The sequence below is a fragment of the Homo sapiens genome, chromosome 14, assembly GCF_000001405.40.
Source record: "Homo sapiens chromosome 14, GRCh38.p14 Primary Assembly".
Lineage (NCBI taxonomy): Eukaryota > Metazoa > Chordata > Mammalia > Primates > Hominidae > Homo > Homo sapiens.
The window spans coordinates 96251672-96269854 of NC_000014.9; the positions used below are offsets into that span (position 1 = coordinate 96251672).

Here is an 18183-nt window from a genome sequence, read left to right on the forward strand (position 1 = left end):
TTCAAACCTCACACTCAGACACAGCCTCAGAACTTCATTGCCACTCTGCTTTCTACAACATGTTGTCACTGGATGTCAGCTTGTCCCTGTCCTCAGCCATCCCAAGAGCTCCTTAAGTGGGCACGGAGTGGGCTGTGTTCGTCTATGCACCCCCTGTGCCCACACAGGGCCTGGCCCCCACAAGGGGTTTGGCACATGTTTGTTGACATAAGACAAGCTATTGCTATTATATACTTATTTGTAATACATAGTTATGAATACACTCAGCAAATATTTGAGCACGTGCTACTTATCAGCCCTGTTGTACAAGTTGGGAAGATGAACCTAATCAAAAGAGATAAATCCGTTGCCTGGTGGAGCAGGTGGCAATAGGGCTGTGAAGAGCAGTGGAGCAGGCCAAGAGGAGGAGAGGTTATTTCAGGAAAGGTCTCTCTGACAAGGGAGGATTGGTGAGGACCAGAAGGACCTGGGGGAGCAAGCATGGGGCTCTCGATGGGAAGGTGCTCCATGTAGGGGAACGGACAGTGCAAAGGCCCTGAGGTGGGAGAGGAGGTGGTACATTCAAAACAGAGAGGAAAGGCTGGGCATAGTGGGGAGTGCCTGTAATCCCAGCATTTTGGGAGGCCGAGGTGGGAGGATGGCTTGGGCCCCCAGGAATTTGAGACCAGCCTAGGCGACATAGTGAGACCTTGTGTCAAAAAACAAAAAACACAGCTCGAGGAAGCCAGGGCAGCCAGGCACCATGAGACGAGTGCTCTGGGAGGCGGCTGGGTCTGTGCATGTGCCCTGGGAGACAGCTGGGTTTGCGCGTGTGCTCTGGGAGGCAGCTGGGTCTGCGCATGTGCTCTGGGAGACAGCTGGGTCTACGCATGTGCTCTGGGGGACAGCTGGGTCTGCGCATGTGCAACCTTGCCGCCGTAAGGTCTCTGTTTTCCTGGGCCTGAGACAGCAGCAGAGGAGTTCGAGAAGAGACATGAGACGGCCTGGCTTCGGCTTTAGGAGACAGAGAAATGCAGCTGATTTTCCTGGTACAAGCCCCTTCTGAGAGCATGTGCACTCCTGGGATTCTCGAGGCTCCCTAAAGAGGAAGGTCTCGTGATCCCCTGCTCTGCCTGGGCGAGAAGGCTTTCATCTCCCAAAGCAGGGCCACACAAGGGCGGGGAGGAACCCCTGGCCCAGTGGAGCTTTATCTGCTAAGTGGGCACCTTCCCACCCCAGAGCCAGCACCCAGGACCCTTCACTTCTGGGCTGGCTGCCAGGCCATGGCAGCACCTGGAGCTGCCTGAATGCCCAGGACGTGCTCATGTCCACCCTGTCATCCTGTAGATCTCCAAGTGTTTGTGCTTTGCTAAATGTATATTTGGGATTTTCTGCTTACCTCCCCCCTTACACTTAGACACCGTCTGTTCACCCCATCCATTCCCCGCTTCCTATGTGCTAGACACGCATGCTCTTCTAGGGTGGCATTTGCCTGGCACCAGCTGGGTGCTCCATATGTGTTTTTAAAATAAAGGGGAAAGCACTCAGGCCCCGTGCTTAGAGAAAAGCAGAGGATTACACCAGGACTTGAGTGATGGATGAACACTGAACAGTGCGAGGAGGAGGAGGTCATTTTCAGCAAATGCTCACAAGCAGGATGCATTCAGAGCCCATGAGTCACTCGCTCAGCATGGAGGGTGGCTCTGGGTGTTACAGCAAGACCGTTGGGGAGCTCTTGAATTCCAAGGGGTTGGGTCGTTGTCCTGTGGCATGACAAAATCCAGGTGTTTCCAGAATATTAATCCAGCAGAAGGATAGACTGAAGGAAAGGAATCAGAAAGCCAGGAGATTGGTTTACAGTCCTTTGTTGCAGACTTGTATGTACGTTGCATGAGTTTCTAAACCCTGTGATGGGAAGAAAGGTGTGACCGCCAACAGCCTTGGTCGGGGGTGAAAGGACACGAGCTGGACCACAGTGAGGGTGCTGCATTTCATCCTGGCAAGAATTCTGCCCAGCTGTGGCTTTCTGTCCTCCGTCTACAATTGGGAGAATACTGGAGACATCAGATGTCGTGTAAGGACTAAGAACGAACCCTGGAGAGGCTCAGCATCTGGGTGCTATTTGTAGAGGTCTGCTGGGTGACATGTACTAGAGTCTTTCATTTTGAAGAACCTGCTGGATATGACTAGAAAAGTAAAGGAGAAAAAAACTCCAGGACTGATGGATGAGAGAACTGAAAAGTGGCCCTTGATGTCACAGTGGGCACTGGGACTGCATGTCCCCAGGGGCTGCAAACTCCAGAGCTCACCTTCCCTTGAATACACATCCAGTATGGCCCAAGCCCACGCATACTACAGGGAGTCCAGCCTGCCTGGAGTGCCCCCTCACTAGTATTTAGGACACCCCAGGGAAGGTTGGCCTGTCCTCTATTTCCAGAGGCAGGCCTTTATCCTCTGTGACCACCTCTTCACCCAAGTACCCAGGGGACTTCATCAAGCACAGCACACATCAGACTGTAAGGTTTAACCAAACCTTATAGAGGCTGTGGGAATTACAAACAACTAAATTCAGAAAAGGCAAGCATTGGCCGGGCACGGTGTCTCACGCCTGTAATCCCAGCACTTTGGGAGGCCAAGGTGGGTGGATCACCTGAGGTCGGGAGTTTGAGACCAGCCTAACCAACATGGAGAAACCCCGTCTCTACTAAAAATACAAAATTAGCTGGGTGTGGTGGTGTGTGCCTGTAATCCCAGCTACTCGGGAGGCTGAGGCAGGAGAATCGCTTGAACCCAGGAGGCGAAGGTTGCAGTGAGCCGAGATCGCTCCATTGCACTCCAGCCTGAGCAACAAGAGCGAAACTCAGTCTCAAAAAAAAAAGAAAAAAGGCAAGCGAAGCCTCAGAAGAGGGTCCTCAGTGCCTACCCACTTCTTAGTCCCCTGCTATCTTCTGCCACACTATAGGGACCTGCTTTTCTTTCACAGATTTGGGGTCCCCTCCCCCTGCCCTCAGCCCCACTCCCTTGGCCCCAGAGACAGTAGGAGACCCTCTGCTCCCCTGAGCCCGGGCCTGTCTCGCATTTCCCGTGGAGATGAGCAACAAGGGGAAACGTGGGTCTTCTTAAAGAACTTTCCTTTCCGCCCTCCACCACCTTGGCAAGGCAGCCAGATGCATCTCCGAAGTCCAGCTCACTCAGGCCAGCTCTCTTCACAGACTGTCTTCCAGCAAGAGGCAAAGCAGAGATGAGACCTGCACGTGCTCTTTGTGGCAGAGCTGGCCTTATACGCACTCCTGGGTGAATAAACAGGGAGACATCTCCTAAGAACAAACGCTTCTCAGAAACAGTATAGTCTAAACTCATACTGAAGGGAGAATAAGCCAGCCACGGGCTGGAGAGACCCCCGCCTACATTACTAAGTAACAGGAAAGGCTAAGATTTGGAGCCTTCCTCCGGTTCAGATCTATCCCGGGAGTAATGGAAGATGCTTGCCTGTTGACAATTTTTTTTTATTAAAAATCCCACCCAGGAGGTCTCTCCTGATAGGAGGGGACCATCCTATCCTCTAAGGCAAATTCCAGCTTCTTCCCTGAAATGTACATCCGCTACTGAGCCTCAGAATGCTATTTGTTCCACCTACTTCCACAGTTTTAAGGTCTTCAGCAACAGGAGAAGACAGCAGGAAAACTTGAAGTGCAGTTGGCTCCCGCTGAGATGTCACTAGCAGAAAAAGGGAACACAAGCAAAAGGCAAGATTCTAAAGACAGAGGTGACACCTTCTGCTCCAAACATTTGGAGGGTCACCTTTCCAGAAGTCAGACTCGAAGTCCTGAATTCTGGCATGAATGAGTTCTCCTACGTGTAGGGGGTGGCCTGGAAAGATCTTAATTTGTAAGTTGACAGGTAAGGGGCCTTCAGTTGGAGAATCTTGTCACCTGATTCTCAAAGCCAAAAATATCTTACTGTCTGAAACATGAGGTCTTGAGTAGTTCAACTTGACCCATGCAGACATAATTTGAGAGACGCCAAGGAGGATTAGGAAAAAATGTATCTGGTCTTACTCAACTCTGAACATTGCATGAGTCAAACGTTTTCCTAGCTCTCTGTTTGTGTGATGGGTCCACTCTGATGGATTCTTGGCGATGTATCTTTCATGACCAAAATTCAAAAGAGGCCATTCGAAGTGGCTCCCACAAAAGCTGCTGCAGAGCCCCAGACATTCAGAAGCCAATAGTGAAGGGGCCAAAAGCCATCCCTCAATGTTCACTGACACTTTGCGAGCCTTGGGGCAAGTTGGCGATGTCAAAACATGTTTTTAGGGCGTGTTTGCCAACATACAGGTCTTGGGCAGGATTGCAGACCTCTGCAGATGGTACCAAAGTAAAGGGGGAGATGGTAGCTGAATAATCTCTTATCATCCCTAAAGTGCAAAGTGAAATGAGAGTGGATTTTTCCTTCCAAATCCACTTGGAGTGAGTCCCGAAAGACTCACTTTTGCGGCAATCCCCACAATGACATCACTGGAGCGGAGGTTATATAATTTAAAGCAACCACATCTCCACAGCACTTCCCAGAAGAGAAAACTCCTCCAAAAGCAGCTCTCACTATCAGAAAACCCAACTACAGTTGTGAACGCCTTCATTTTCTGCCTGAGTAAGTAAATGACCACCTTTTTTTTTTCTTTTATGAGAGTACAATATGAGAGGAAATCTGTGTCTCTTAGAAAAACAAAAAACTTCCTTTTACACCTACCTATTGGCAAAATTTTCCACTTCTGTGAGGGTACTTTTTAAAAATAATTCTAAATCAATTTAAGAGACTTTTATTTCATGCCTAGTTTGGGTCTTAATTGCTTTTCCAGAACAGGAGGAGGAGGGAAAGGTTTTAGAACTCGTAGGAAGGTTCCAGTAGCTCCTTATATCAAAGTCAGGTGAAACATGTCAGGGCTGAATGCAGCCACCAGAGTTCGCATGGACTGACCAGTTACAGCCTGCAAATTCTGAATCATAAAAATTAAATTAGTCTCTCTGGGATGGCTTACAAGATTTCATAAGACCAATAACTGGTTGGGTTATTCGTGGCTTGAAAGTAGCATCTTACTATGTGACCGTGCTGATGGTCTTTAACATCTGTGGCTGAATTTCCAATGCCTTTAACATCACCATGCTGTTGAAATTGGAGTTAATTTGAAGAATTAACTAATTTGTTGAAGAAAGTCACACTGTCTCATAGCCTAGGTTAAAATGTGCAGAATTCAGAAAATACCACACAGGAATTACAGAATTGCCATCTCTTGTAGACTTGCCCAGTGCCCCTTCTGAGTTCTTCAAATAGGGTCACATATTACTAACAATATCCAGAGATATTGTTTATTGAGCACCTACTATGTTCCAGGCAAATATCAGAGCTAAAGCTGAAAACTGGCAAAGGAAGATTTCTCCTCTCTAGCCAACTTTATAAACACAGACAGCAGCAGGTGAGGACAATCCCTTTAAAAATAAGCCCCATGTGAGCAGACACATGCTGTGGCTGCAGTGGCCCCAGCCACCTCCCCGTCCTGGGGATGGGGGCGGTGTCCACTGACCTAATCAGGTTCGAGCTAAAGTCCCTGCGTAGCTGGTCGTCTCTGGCTTCCTGGGCAGGGTGCAGCCTCACCCCCGTGCTGGTTTCCTAAGGCTGCTATAATTAATTATCACAAAGTGAGTGGCTTAAAACGATGCAAGTTATTATCTTACAGTTCTGGAGATCAGGAGTTCAAACTCAGTCTCGCTGAGCTAAAGTCAAGATATTGGCTTGGCTTTGTTCTCCATCCCCATGATTCAATTATCTCCCACCAAGTCCCTCACACAACACGAGAGAATTATGGGAGCTACAACTCAAGATGAGATTTGGGTGGGGACACAGCCAAACCATATCAGTGCTCAACACCCTCCCATCTCTTCTCAAACTCTCAATGCCCCAGCCCCTCCACCACAGGTCAGGACCTCGCCTCCTTTCTCCCTGAGAAATCCCAACCAATCGCCGGGGAATTCTACAGATTCCCACCTGCCAGCCTCTGTCACCATAGACCTCAGCTTCCTGGCCATCATCAGAGATAGCTAGGAGAGGGATGGTCAGGCCATGTGTGTGCACACTGCCGGGGCACCCCAATAGTCAAAAATTATTTCCCCCAAAAATTAGTATTTACAGGTAGAAAGAGAGAGGAAAGAAGGAAGGAAGGAAAGAAGGAAGGGAAGGAAGGAAGGAAGGAAAGCAGGATGGGAGGGAGGGAAGAAGGGAGGGAGGAAGGGAGGGATGGAGGAAGGAAGGAAGGAAGGAGGGAAGGAGGGTAGGGAGGGAAGGAGAGAAGGAGGGAATGAAGGGAAGGAAGGAAGGAAGGGGAAAAAATCCAACAAAATGGTTATATTATATTGATGGTGTTATAAAGTAGTTCTAGATAAAAACTATTTTCAAAAAAGTCTTTAAATATATATGCATACACCTATGAATATTAAAGCAAAAGAAAACATGTTTATGTTAATCAACTGAACATTTAAAAATAAGATAAGCAAAATAATTGTTCTTGTTGTATATTCACATGCTACAGTTTCTTGTACCTGACTGATACCCTGTCACTGGCATTTTTCACAAGAATGTATTTTCTTCAGTGGGGTCTTGTTATTTTTAATTTTTCCATATAATTGCCTGAAATCTTTTTTCCACAAATTTTACAATTAACAAATTTAAATTAGTACCTTCAATTGACTCTTCTCTTGAACCATAATATATTGAGAAAATGTTCCCTGTGCAGGTTCTGAGTGATAAGCTCTCAGCAAATTCTGCCAGGCAGAGGCTGTTCTCAAGTCCAATTCTTTGCATATGGAATTGCATAAATATTTTAGCCCAGATATTTTCACAGGTGCTGTCTTTGTGCCTTAGTTTGGAATGTAGTGGTGCGATCTTGGCTCGCCACAACCTCCGCTTCCCAGGTTCAAGCAATTCTCCTGCCTCAGCCTCCTGTGTAGCTGGGATTACAGGCGCCTGCCACCATGCCCGGCTAATTTTTGTGTTTTCAGTAGAGACAAAGTTTCACCATGTTGGCCAGGTTGGTCTTGAACTCCTGACCTCATGTGATCCACCTGCCTCAGCCTCCCAAAGTGCTGGGATTACAGGCATGAGCCACACCGTGCCCAGCCCACACGTATTTTTTTTTAACCAGATTAAACCTTTCAAATAAGTTGTACCTACTTATAAGTTTTGAATGTTTTGTCAGATTCAGATACTGCAAAAAAAAAAAAAATCATTGGCTTTCTCAATTTCATCTCATTTCATACAGAACATGAATTTATCCAATTAAAAAGATTCTTCCCACAAGCTGAAATGTTCCAGAGCTCATTTTAGAATTTCAAAATTAACTCTTGTACAGCATTTGATTTTGATCATTTTCTGATACATTTTATAATTTTTCTGCATACCAGCTTTGTTTTCAATATTTATAATTCACTAAAAGCTTTGAAAGTTGACGTTTTGCTGCTCTATTCATTGAATAACTTGACTAAATATTTCCAACTGATTTGGAACAAAATTCAACGAAAATTTATAGATCTGTTTTAATACACTGTTTAATAACATTTTAGGATGCTGAGACTCAATGTCCACTAAAATTGATTGATAATGGGAAAATAAAAGAGAAAACACATGTGAAAGTCCAGTTTTTTAAAAAAATTCATGAACAACTTTATCACAAGTTTGTAGTTCAGTAAATCTGTGCATATGTTTTAACATTTTGTAAATTTTGTCACGTACGTCTATAAATGTCAATTTATAGAATATTGACATTTATTTATATGCAATAACAAATTGTGTGTGCACCATGACCTGTTCCAATCACATTTCTGTTTCATTAGTGTCTTAATTTAGTAGGAATATTATTGTTACCATGACGCTGGACTCCACCACAATTTGTGTTTTATCCTCACAAAAATGCAATGACTTTATTTCCAATGTGGAAAATTTAAACAACTTAAATAGCATTCACAAAAAGTCAGTTGTTTCACTTTGCCAGAATGAATGTCCCAAAGCCCTGCTTGGCTTCCATGAGCTGAATGAAAGAATGAATTGTGATTGGAATTAACAGGTTTTTCTGTCTGAAGAGTCCGAGGATACTGGTGTTGAGCTGGCACCATTTTGCTTTCTGTGATGTTCTTCTTATGGAGCCAACACACAGTCAGCCATCACTTCCACTGTTGCACGTGCACAAGAAAAGCTGGAATTAAATGTGAGCTGAGTTAACTTAAAGAACAGTCATTTGATCTAAGGGAAAAGTCATGCCTCTCAGAATGATCTTATATCAGCATCTTTTGCAGCTACATGGATGAGAACCGTGTCTTAGGGTGCAATTTTTTTTTTTTTTTTTGAGACAGAGTCTCACTCTGTCACCCAGGCTGGAGTGTACTGGTGCGATCTCAGCTCACTGCAACCTCTGCCTCCTAGGTTCAAGCAATTCTCTGCCTCAGCCTCCCAAGTAGCTGGAATTACAGGCACCTGCCATCACACCCAGCTAGTTTTTGTATTTTTAGTACATACAGGGTTTCACCATCTTGGCCAGGCTGGTCTTGAACTCCTGACCTCATGATCCACCTGCCTCGGCCTCCCAAAGTGCTGGGATTACAGGCTTGAGCCACCACGCCCAGCCTGGTGCAATGTTCTTAAAATTACTAATTTCTAAAGTAGCAGCTCTGTGTCTTAGGTTTTCTTGCAATCAGTGAAATTGCTACAGACCCCATAGTGATGCAAATGTCAACAAACGTTCTATGCAAGCTATCTGCTCATCAACAACTTCCTTGAGCAACAGAAGTGCAGTACTTAAATTTCCATTAAATATTTGTTTTTTAGCTCATTACTCCAAAAGGGTTTATTTCAAATTCTTTAAGTATTGCCAAATGATAAAATACACATAGTTTTGGATTTATGCCCTGCAAAAAATGACCAAACTATTGTAACAAGAGCCTCCAGCCTCCTCCATATTATGCTCTGGGTGGGGACTGCTCAGCTTCCATGTGCCATGGACATTTCACAACCACCAAATCATAATTTCCCATGTCTCCTGTTGATCTGTCAACCGGCAGCTGTGCAACTTCTGCTCTTTTATCTACTCTCTCCCTTGGTGATTTCATCCAGCCTTGTGGCTTTAAATGCCATTCCTATAGTTACAACTCCCAGTTAGGTCTCATCATCCCAGATCTTGTCCCTGAATACCACACTTGTCTACCTAATTGCCTGCTGGATGTCCCCATGTGATGTCCAATTTATATCTCAACCTTAACAATTCCAAAGTTGAACTCCTGTTCTTCCCCACCCCCCACAAAAAAAACTGCTTCATCTTCATTCTGTCACCTTCATTTCAGCTGATGACAACTTCATACTTCCCAGTGTTCAGTCCAAAAACCTTGGCATTGTCCGATTTCTCCTTTCTCCCACCCAGATCCAACTGAAAATCACGGTGTTACTACCTCCAAAACACCTCTAGAGTTTGATCACTTGATCACTTCTCACCACCTGCCCTGCTACTCTCCCCAGCTGTCACCCGCCAGCATGTTTATTTAGTGTGTGTATTGTTTATCAACTTCTTCCTCCTGCTAGGCTTATACGCACACTGAGAGCAGGGATTTTTGCCTGCTGTATTCACTGCTTTGTCCTAAATACCTAGAACAGTGCCTGGCACATAGTACATTCTCAGTAAATACTTGTTCAGCAAATAAATAACTGGAGGAACCAGTGAATTATACCCCGGTGTGAATAACTCCATGTGAGTGACATGACAGAATGTCAGAGCTAGAAGGGCCTCTTGAGGACATCATGTCTTCCTTAGATGAGGAAAGTCAGGCTCAGAGACATGAACTGACTCTCCTGAGGTTACACAGCCAAATATGCTCTTCCAAGGTTAATTCTCTGCTACACAATAGCTTTTGTTGGTATCTGTGAGGCTTTGCGGGGTTGAAGGAATCTCAGGTGTCACCCATTAATAACAATCATGACAGTGACAACTAATGTTTGCCACGTGCTTACAATAAGTCAGGAACCCTGCCAAGCACCGGGCGTATATTAACCTATCCAAGCTGGGGAAGAATGTTTAGGCTCTGAAGATTGTCTGGAGCCGCATAAATCCCGCAGTGTAGGCAGCTGCTCATTCTGCAGATAGTATTCTGTGGATCCCTGAGTTGGCTGTGGCCGGTTTTGCCAGCAGGAGGCCACGAAGCCATGAGCACAGGATGGGATCTACCCCTTGTGGGATCGCAGAGGGCTGGGAGATGCAGTCCTCCCTATGGAAAGAGACAGAGCTTTCTATCCCTCTCCCGGTGAAACTCAGCATGGGAGCATGGGAGGCAGGTCAGCTGCGTGGCTATGAACATGAGCTATGGGGTGCATGCAGACCAAGGTTCATAGTGTACACTGTACCCACCAGCTGTAGCTCCTCCAGCAAGCGTGGGAGGCCAGTCAGCTGCATGGCTGTGAGCACGGCCTCTGGGGTCCATGCAGACCAAGGTTCCTGGCGTAGCACTGTAACCACCACCTAGGTCTTCTCCGACAAGCTGGTTAACTTCTCTGAGCCTGGCTTTGTCATTCATCGCGTGGGGACAGGTGCAGCAGAAGAGAGCAGACAGAAGCACAGGATCTCAATCAGGCTCTTGAATCAGACTGCCTGGGTTTGAATCCAGGCCCTACTGACCAGCTGTGTGACCTCAGACAGGCGACTCCGGGTCTCAGCACTCAATTTTCTAATTGGCCAACTGGAGATGACAATGGCCCCTACCTTGAATGGCTGCCAGGAAGATTAAATGAGAAAATACTTAAATGTGAAACACTTAGAATGGCGCCTGGAACACAGACCATTAATACCATCTAACAGATGTTAGTTGTTATCCTTATTTATTACTCATGCTTTCCTTTCTCTTTTTTCTTTTCTCTCTCTCTCTCTCCTTTTTTTTTTTTTTTTTTTTGTTGTTGTTGTTGTTGTTGAGACAGGGTCTCAGTCCGTCGGCCCAGACTGAAGTGCAGTGGCACAATCATAGCTCGCTGCAGCCTCGACCTTCCAGGCTTAAACGATTCTCCCACCTCAGCCTCTCGAGTTGCTGGGACCACAGGTATGCACCACCATGCCCAGCTAATTTTTGTATTTTTTGTAAAGACAGGATTTCACCATGTTGCCCAGGCTGGTCTTGAACTCCTGGGTTCATCTGATCCATCTGCCTTGGCCTCCCAAAGTACTGAGATTACAGGTGTGAACCACCACACCCGGCCAATACTCATGTTTTTCAAGCCTGTAAGAGGAACCTCCTAGCACTGTCCCCACCCCGGCCACCACACTGGTCCCAGCCCCAACAGGTCAGCTTCCTTTGCTGTTCCCGGGCTTCCCTCAGCTCTATCTCAAGCCATGACCTCTGCCTCCATGTCTGCAGCCCCATGAGGCTGGGGCTGCTCTGTCCTGCATATCTCCAGTGCCTGGCAAGGGGCTGGCAAGAGGTAGAGGCTCATTAAATGCCTGTTAAAACCCTAATAGTAATAATAATAATGGTACAGTTGTTACTAAGACTAATCACTACCTTCCAAAGTCTTTCCTCTATGCAAGGCACGGAGCTAAGCACCCTGTAGATCCTGACAACAGCCCTCCCGTGATCCCACAAGAGAGACACGATTCTCTCCAATGTTTAAAAAGGAAAGTAAAAGTCAATGGTTCTAAGTAGCTCACACTGAGTGATTGTACCGGGATTTGGACTCAGGCACCATCCCTTAAACCAGAGGTCAGCAAACTTTTCCCCCTCAGGAACAGATGGTAAATATCTTCAGCTTTGCAAGCCAGACAGTCTCTGTTACAAGCGCTCGACTCCCCCTTGTAGCATGAACACAGCTGTAGATAATACGTCCAGGAATGGGTGTGGCTCTGTGCCAATAAAACTTTATTGTCCAAAAACAGGTGACAGGTTGGTTTGGCTCATAGGCTGTAGTCTGCCACTTCCTGTTTTATTCTACCTTCTGTTCATTTCAGGTCACTGTGCATGGCATCATCCTGGCCCCCTCTAGAGCTCCAATCCTCCAACCAGAGCCAGCTCTTCCCTCAAAATGCTACGGCCTGTGACAATGCTCCAGAAGCCTGGGACCTGCTGCACAGAGTGCTGCCAACATTTATCATCTCCATCTGTTTCTTCGGCCTCCTAGGGAACCTTTTTGTCCTGTTGGTCTTCCTCCTGCCCCGGCGGCAACTGAACGTGGCAGAAATCTACCTGGCCAACCTGGCAGCCTCTGATCTGGTGTTTGTCTTGGGCTTGCCCTTCTGGGCAGAGAATATCTGGAACCAGTTTAACTGGCCTTTCGGAGCCCTCCTCTGCCGTGTCATCAACGGGGTCATCAAGGCCAATTTGTTCATCAGCATCTTCCTGGTGGTGGCCATCAGCCAGGACCGCTACCGCGTGCTGGTGCACCCTATGGCCAGCCGGAGGCAGCAGCGGCGGAGGCAGGCCCGGGTCACCTGCGTGCTCATCTGGGTTGTGGGGGGCCTCTTGAGCATCCCCACATTCCTGCTGCGATCCATCCAAGCCGTCCCAGATCTGAACATCACCGCCTGCATCCTGCTCCTCCCCCATGAGGCCTGGCACTTTGCAAGGATTGTGGAGTTAAATATTCTGGGTTTCCTCCTACCACTGGCTGCGATCGTCTTCTTCAACTACCACATCCTGGCCTCCCTGCGAACGCGGGAGGAGGTCAGCAGGACAAGGTGCGGGGGCCGCAAGGATAGCAAGACCACAGCGCTGATCCTCACGCTCGTGGTTGCCTTCCTGGTCTGCTGGGCCCCTTACCACTTCTTTGCCTTCCTGGAATTCTTATTCCAGGTGCAAGCAGTCCGAGGCTGCTTTTGGGAGGACTTCATTGACCTGGGCCTGCAATTGGCCAACTTCTTTGCCTTCACTAACAGCTCCCTGAATCCAGTAATTTATGTCTTTGTGGGCCGGCTCTTCAGGACCAAGGTCTGGGAACTTTATAAACAATGCACCCCTAAAAGTCTTGCTCCAATATCTTCATCCCATAGGAAAGAAATCTTCCAACTTTTCTGGCGGAATTAAAACAGCATTGAACCAAGAAGCTTGGCTTTCTTATCAATTCTTTGTGACATAATAAATGCTATTGTGATAGGCTAAATGATTACTCCCGTAGATTGGGGGGTACCTAATCCCTGGACTTGATGAATGTTACCAAATTAAGGGTCTTGAGATGGGGAGATGATCCTGAATTATCCAAGTGGGCCCTATATAATCACAAGGGTCCTTATAGGAGGGAGGCAGGAGGCTCAGAGTCAGGAGATGTGACTATGGAAGCAGAGGCCAGAGGAATTCAGGACGGCCACTACGAGCCAAGGATTGCAGGCACCCTCTAGAGGCTGTAAAGGGCAAGGAAATGGCTTCTCCCCTGGAGCCTCCAGAAGGAATGGGTCCTGCCAACTCCCTGTCTTCAGCCCAGGGAAACAGATTTAGGATTTCTGGCCTCCAGAACTGTTAGAGGATACATTTGTGTTTTGTTTTGCTTTGTTTGCTTTGCTTTGCTTTGCTTTTTTGAGATGGGGTCTCGCTCTGTCACCCAGGCTGGAGTGCACTGGCACAATCACGGCTCACTGCAGCCTCAACTTCCCAGACTCAAGGGATCCTCCCACCTCAGCCTCCTGTAGCTGAGACTACAGGTGTGCACCACCATGCCTGGCTAACTTTTCTATTTTTTGTAGAGATGGTGTCTTCCTGCATTGCCTAGGCTGGTCTCAAACTCAAGGGCTCAAGTGATCCTCCACTTTGGTCTCCCATAGTGCTAGGATTATAGGCGTGGCCACTGCGCCTGGCCCCATTTGTATTTTAAGCCACCGAGTTTCTGGTAATTTGTCATAGCAGCAGCAGGAAACAAATAACAAGTATCGGGTAATGGCCTCTCTTATTACACTTCCATTTGTCTATTCAAAGCTTTCTAGGCTAACTGCCAGGAATACAGGGATGGTATAGCTAGAAGTTCTATATTCAAGGAACTTACATACATCTAAATATTATAATATAAAAAATGAAATGAGAAATTGCATGAACACACCACGGATCCAGCATCTTGCGCCTTCAGCGAGAAAGGGGATGGGTTCCCTCTCAGGTTAGCAGAGAAGACGCTGTGAAGGGAGTCAGCCGTGAGCCTGGTTTCCACAAAGGGTGCAATCTGGATACGTGGAGACAGGGAGGAAGGGCTGGCAGAGGCGGGAAAGGGTGAGCTGCTCACAAAAGAATGCTTGTGCATGCTCTTATTGAACGTGTAATGCATTGGTGCGGGTCTTGCTATGAGAGACCCAACGGTGAGCCTAACGGTGTCTCTACCCTCCAGGGGCTCACAGCAACCAGGACAATAATTAAGGGATTGTCATAGAGCAGGATGCCCGCCACCATCAGGGTGAGGGGTGCCGTGAGAACCAGAGCAGGGCTCCAGTCTGGGTGGCTGGGAGGGATGGTTAGAGAGGGGTTCCTGGAGGAAGAGACACATAAACTGAATCCCAAAAAATGAGAAGCTGGCCAAGCAAAATGGGGGAAAGGAGTGTTCCAGACAGAAGGAACAAAGTAGGCCCAGAGGCAGGTGGGGTTACAGGTTAGGAGGGAGAGGTTGAAGGATGGCAGAGGAGGAGGCGGGTCATGGAGAGAATTGGGGCTGGAGGAGAATGGACAGGCTGGGTCCACCATGGTCAGCTGGCAAAGACAGTTCACCCAGGAAGGATGGTGGGCTCCAGGCAGCTTTGAGGGCCCCATTGAAGCTGGAAAGCGTGGCTGTGTTGTGTGAATTTACTCTGATAATGCTCGACAGACCCAGGAAAGGATTGCTCTGGAGTAGGGTTTAGCCAGATAGACGGCCATACGTCATGGGAGTTGGGGATCCTGGTCAGACTCGGGGGAATGATGGAGAGGGAAGAAACGAGCACAGGGAGAGAAGGAAGTGAAGTGAGATCAGTGTGTTAAAGGATGGATATAGTGAGAGAACCTGGGTGACAGCAAGAAACAGAAGAAGAGCCAGGCGTGATCTTCTGTACACTGTGAAGGGAATCAGCCGTGAGCCTGGTTTCCACAAAGGGTGCAATCTGTAATCCCAGCACTTTGGGAGGCTGAGACAGGTGGATGGCTTGAGCCCGGGAGTTTGAGACCAGCCTGGGCAACATAGCAAGACCCCGTCTCTACAAAAAATACAAAAATTATCCAGGCGTGGTAGTGCGCACCTGTAGTCCCAGCTACTTGGGAGGCTGAGGCAAGAGGATCATCTGAGCCCAGGAGGTCAGGGCTACAAGCAGTGAGCCAAGATTGTGCCACTGCATTCCAGCCTGGCTGACAGAGTGAGACCCTGTCTCATTAAAAGAGAGAGAGGAAGGCATAGCCACAGAGCAGGAATGTTTGAGTAGAACATTCCAGAGGCAGAGCCATCTCAGGAGATGACAAGGACCAAGTGTATCCCTGGCACCAGGTGGCTGAAGTAGAGGGAAGAAGAAGGAGGTTGGAGACAACATAGAGAATGGAGAGGTCAGGTGGTGGGTGGGCCCTACCTGGGCCCTCACAGGCAGGCGGGACATTGTCAGGCCCTGGGGAGGAGAGAGTCCGTGGGCCAGGAGGCCATTCCAAGGTCAGTTTCCATGGAGTGGGGGAGAGGGTGTAGTGACTGGACTCCAAGACACTTGGGGGAATGGGGAGAATGGCAGTCCCCACAGCTGCACGGGAAGGGCTGGTCCTCACAGAATAGCAGCAAAGACTCATTCATTCCAGGAATGGAAAGAATGCCATGTTCTTGGAGCCTGGAGACAGGGTTTGAGAGGCTGGCAGCGGCTGGGCCACCAGGACCTCATCAGTGATAACCCTGTGATCAGTGTTCCAGCCCCTGCAGGTTTCCTGGAGAGCAGAGTGTCGTCAGAAGGCCTGGAGCTGAGCCAACAGGCAAGATCCAGCCTGCACATGTGTTTAATTTGAACCACATGGTATTTTTTAAAACTCCAAGCCCCCAGGCTCTTGAGTTGGTTACCAGTACTGAAACTCCCCATTGGGAGCCAGCTTTCCAGTTTCTTTTGAAAGTTTGGAACATCCAGCAACACTGATTCAATTTCATTCATTCAGCAGATATTTATTAAGCATCTACTTTGTCAGACACTGTTTTGGGCACTGAAAATATGGCAGTGAACAAAAGAGAGGAACATCCCTGGGCCCTTGGAGTTGACCTTCCAGGGTCCCCCCGGGGCTCCAATTCTTTGGTGCTGTGTAGCAGAGGCCCCGTGAACAGGGCGCCCTCCCATCAGGTTCACACGCATGGAAGCTATGGGAGGTTAAGTTTGCAACCCCTCATCCAGACCATCCCTTCACATACAGTCTAGGAAACAGAGAGCAGTAAGACCTGCCCAAGCACACCCAGTGCGACTCAGCAGCCACACACAGGAGTAGGCTCAGTCATCTCATTTAATCGCCTGACTCCCTTGTGAGGTCTGTTTCAGGATGTCCACTTTCTAGGTGAGGAAGAGGAGGCTAAGGAAGGCAGTGCCTGCTCAGACTGCAGAGGCTGGATTCACCCAACTCATCTGACTCCAACACCAATGTGATTTCCAAGCCCCCAGGCAGGAATTCATTGGGCAAAGGCTCTGTGGCAAAGTGGCAAAAGTAGGCAGGAACAGGCAGGAATAGAGAGTGGGAAAGGGAAAATAATACCTGATTCCTCTTCTATTCCGAGTGAGCTGACCCACATATGCCCTCCTTTCTTCTTTTTCAGCCGGCCTTAAGCAGGTGGCTTATCAAAATCCTTTCGAGGTCTTGCAAAAACCAATCCCACACTCGAGAAGAACGTGCTGGCCGGTGAAATCGGACAACATTGCTCACGGGATGTAATTCAATGGTAGACTGCAGCCACAGCCTGAGAACTCAGACACCTGATTTATGAGACGCACATAAGTAACGTTTACCGAAGCCCAGCAAATGGCCCCACAGTGGGAGAGAAACTGGCAAACCCGTACAGTAGAATTCTGTTGCCCTTCTGTGGGGAAGGCCAGTTATTCATTTACAGAGGGAGAAATTTCTGCCTTGACTAAAAGGATCGATGCTGTGGGAAAAGGTAATATATCTGAGTTCCCATGGATCTGGTTGATAGGTTCACCTGGCGTGTTCCATATGGGGCCAGGCCCAGGCCACACCTGTGGTGCTAACACCTGGGGTGGAGGGAGGAATTAGCAAATAGTCTTCCAGCATCCCCAGCTCCAGCACCCATGTGGGCTTCCACTCTCTCCCTGAGAAGGGCCAAGTAGAAAGAGAGAACAAGGTTTCACTCCAATCCGTTCCCAGCTCTGGGTCTGTCCTGGGCTCCAGAACCGCGTGATCAGGGGCCATATGTGGCCTTCACTGCTCTCTGCAGTGGGAAGGTAAGAAAACTGCCCCCACCCTGCCCCATCATCACCCCAATCCATCATGGGGAGTGGGTGGCACTAAGGCCCTCCAAATCCCAGCCTCGGGGAAACTCCCTGATGTTGCAATGGCCACAGGCAGGCTCTTGCTCTCCGGAGATGAGTCACAAATTTGATGAGGAGCAGGTCGGAAGCAGCCCTGGAAAGTGTTCCTCCCCACCCCTGCTCCCACCACAGCTCCGAGGAGCCTGGGCATCCAACCAGGGCTGATCCAAGCCTTGGCTCCGGCTGAGCTCCGCTCTGGCCTCTGTGCACCTTCAGCTCCTTCCTGCCCTTCTCTTTCCCTGTGCCCAGCCCCTTTCTCCAGACCCCCTTGATTCCTTCTCAGCATCCTCTTGCCTCCCCGGACCACCCCCAGCTCAGGCCCCTGCCCAAGAAGGGCCTCACCGCGGGGCTGCAGAGTGCACAGTGCAGCCGGTCAGAGGTCCAGGTCTCTGAGTCACACATGCCACTGTTCCAGTCCTCACTCCACCACCGCATGGGCCTGGCCGACCACCGAAACTCGGCATCCCATCTGTAAAATGGGAATGAGGAGAGCAGTGCCTCACTGTGTCGTTGTGAAAATTAAGTGACCCAAAAGGACGGCCTTATTCCCTTTTTGGAAAGAGGTAATGGGCAAAGAAAGGGAAGGAAAGGCGAGAAAGGACAAGAGGAAGGTCAGAGATGTATGTGAGACACCAGGACAGCGCCACCCCAGCAAGCACCAACAACCATTTTCTCCTATGAGCAGAAGAGGCTTT

The 18183-nt window shown here is 48.4% G+C and overlaps 1 protein-coding gene and 1 long non-coding RNA gene across 4 annotated transcripts, besides 2 other annotated features; one reads left to right on the forward strand and one right to left on the reverse strand.

The window, feature by feature from the left end:
- Nucleotides 1525-2034: an enhancer, noted in NCBI's record as "H3K27ac-H3K4me1 hESC enhancer chr14:96719533-96720042 (GRCh37/hg19 assembly coordinates)". NCBI's record gives its function as "activates a minimal SCP1, AML or CMV promoter by ChIP-STARR-seq in naive H9 embryonic stem cells {active_cell/tissue: H9 hESC(naive)}" and the evidence as "EXISTENCE:reporter gene assay evidence [ECO:0000049][PMID:30033119]".
- Nucleotides 4539-13092, forward strand: BDKRB1 (bradykinin receptor B1). 2 transcript variants are annotated; one of them, NM_000710.4, is made up of 3 exons: nt 4539-4629; nt 10981-11099; nt 12002-13092. In NM_000710.4, the coding sequence occupies exon 3, from the start codon at nt 12012-12014 to the stop codon at nt 13071-13073; it is 1062 nt and encodes a 353-aa protein (NP_000701.2). In that variant the 5' UTR covers nt 4539-4629; nt 10981-11099; nt 12002-12011; the 3' UTR covers nt 13074-13092. The 2 variants fall into 2 exon arrangements, with proteins under 2 accessions (NP_000701.2, NP_001372936.1); NM_001386007.1 differs by lacking the exon at nt 10981-11099.
- BDKRB1-AS1 (BDKRB1 antisense RNA 1) lies at nt 7560-16909 on the reverse strand. 2 transcript variants are annotated; one of them, XR_007064322.1, is made up of 2 exons: nt 16698-16909; nt 7560-8221 (listed from the first exon to the last, which is right to left on the reverse strand). It is a non-coding gene; the product is annotated as a BDKRB1 antisense RNA 1 (long non-coding RNA). The 2 variants fall into 2 exon arrangements; XR_007064323.1 differs by lacking the exon at nt 16698-16909 and adding an exon at nt 10418-10940.
- Nucleotides 16984-18183: an enhancer, noted in NCBI's record as "CDK7 strongly-dependent group 2 enhancer chr14:96734992-96736191 (GRCh37/hg19 assembly coordinates)". NCBI's record gives its function as "activates an origin of replication core promoter dependent on BRD2, BRD4, P300/CBP, MED14 and CDK7 cofactors, with strong dependence on CDK7, by STARR-seq in HCT116 cells {active_cell/tissue: HCT116}" and the evidence as "EXISTENCE:reporter gene assay evidence [ECO:0000049][PMID:35650434]".

Bases quoted from the DNA above. Each gene is read 5' to 3' on its own strand.
- BDKRB1 (NM_000710.4), top strand. From the start codon at position 12,012: ATGGCATCATCCTGGCCCCCTCTAGAGCTCCAATCCTCCAACCAGAGC.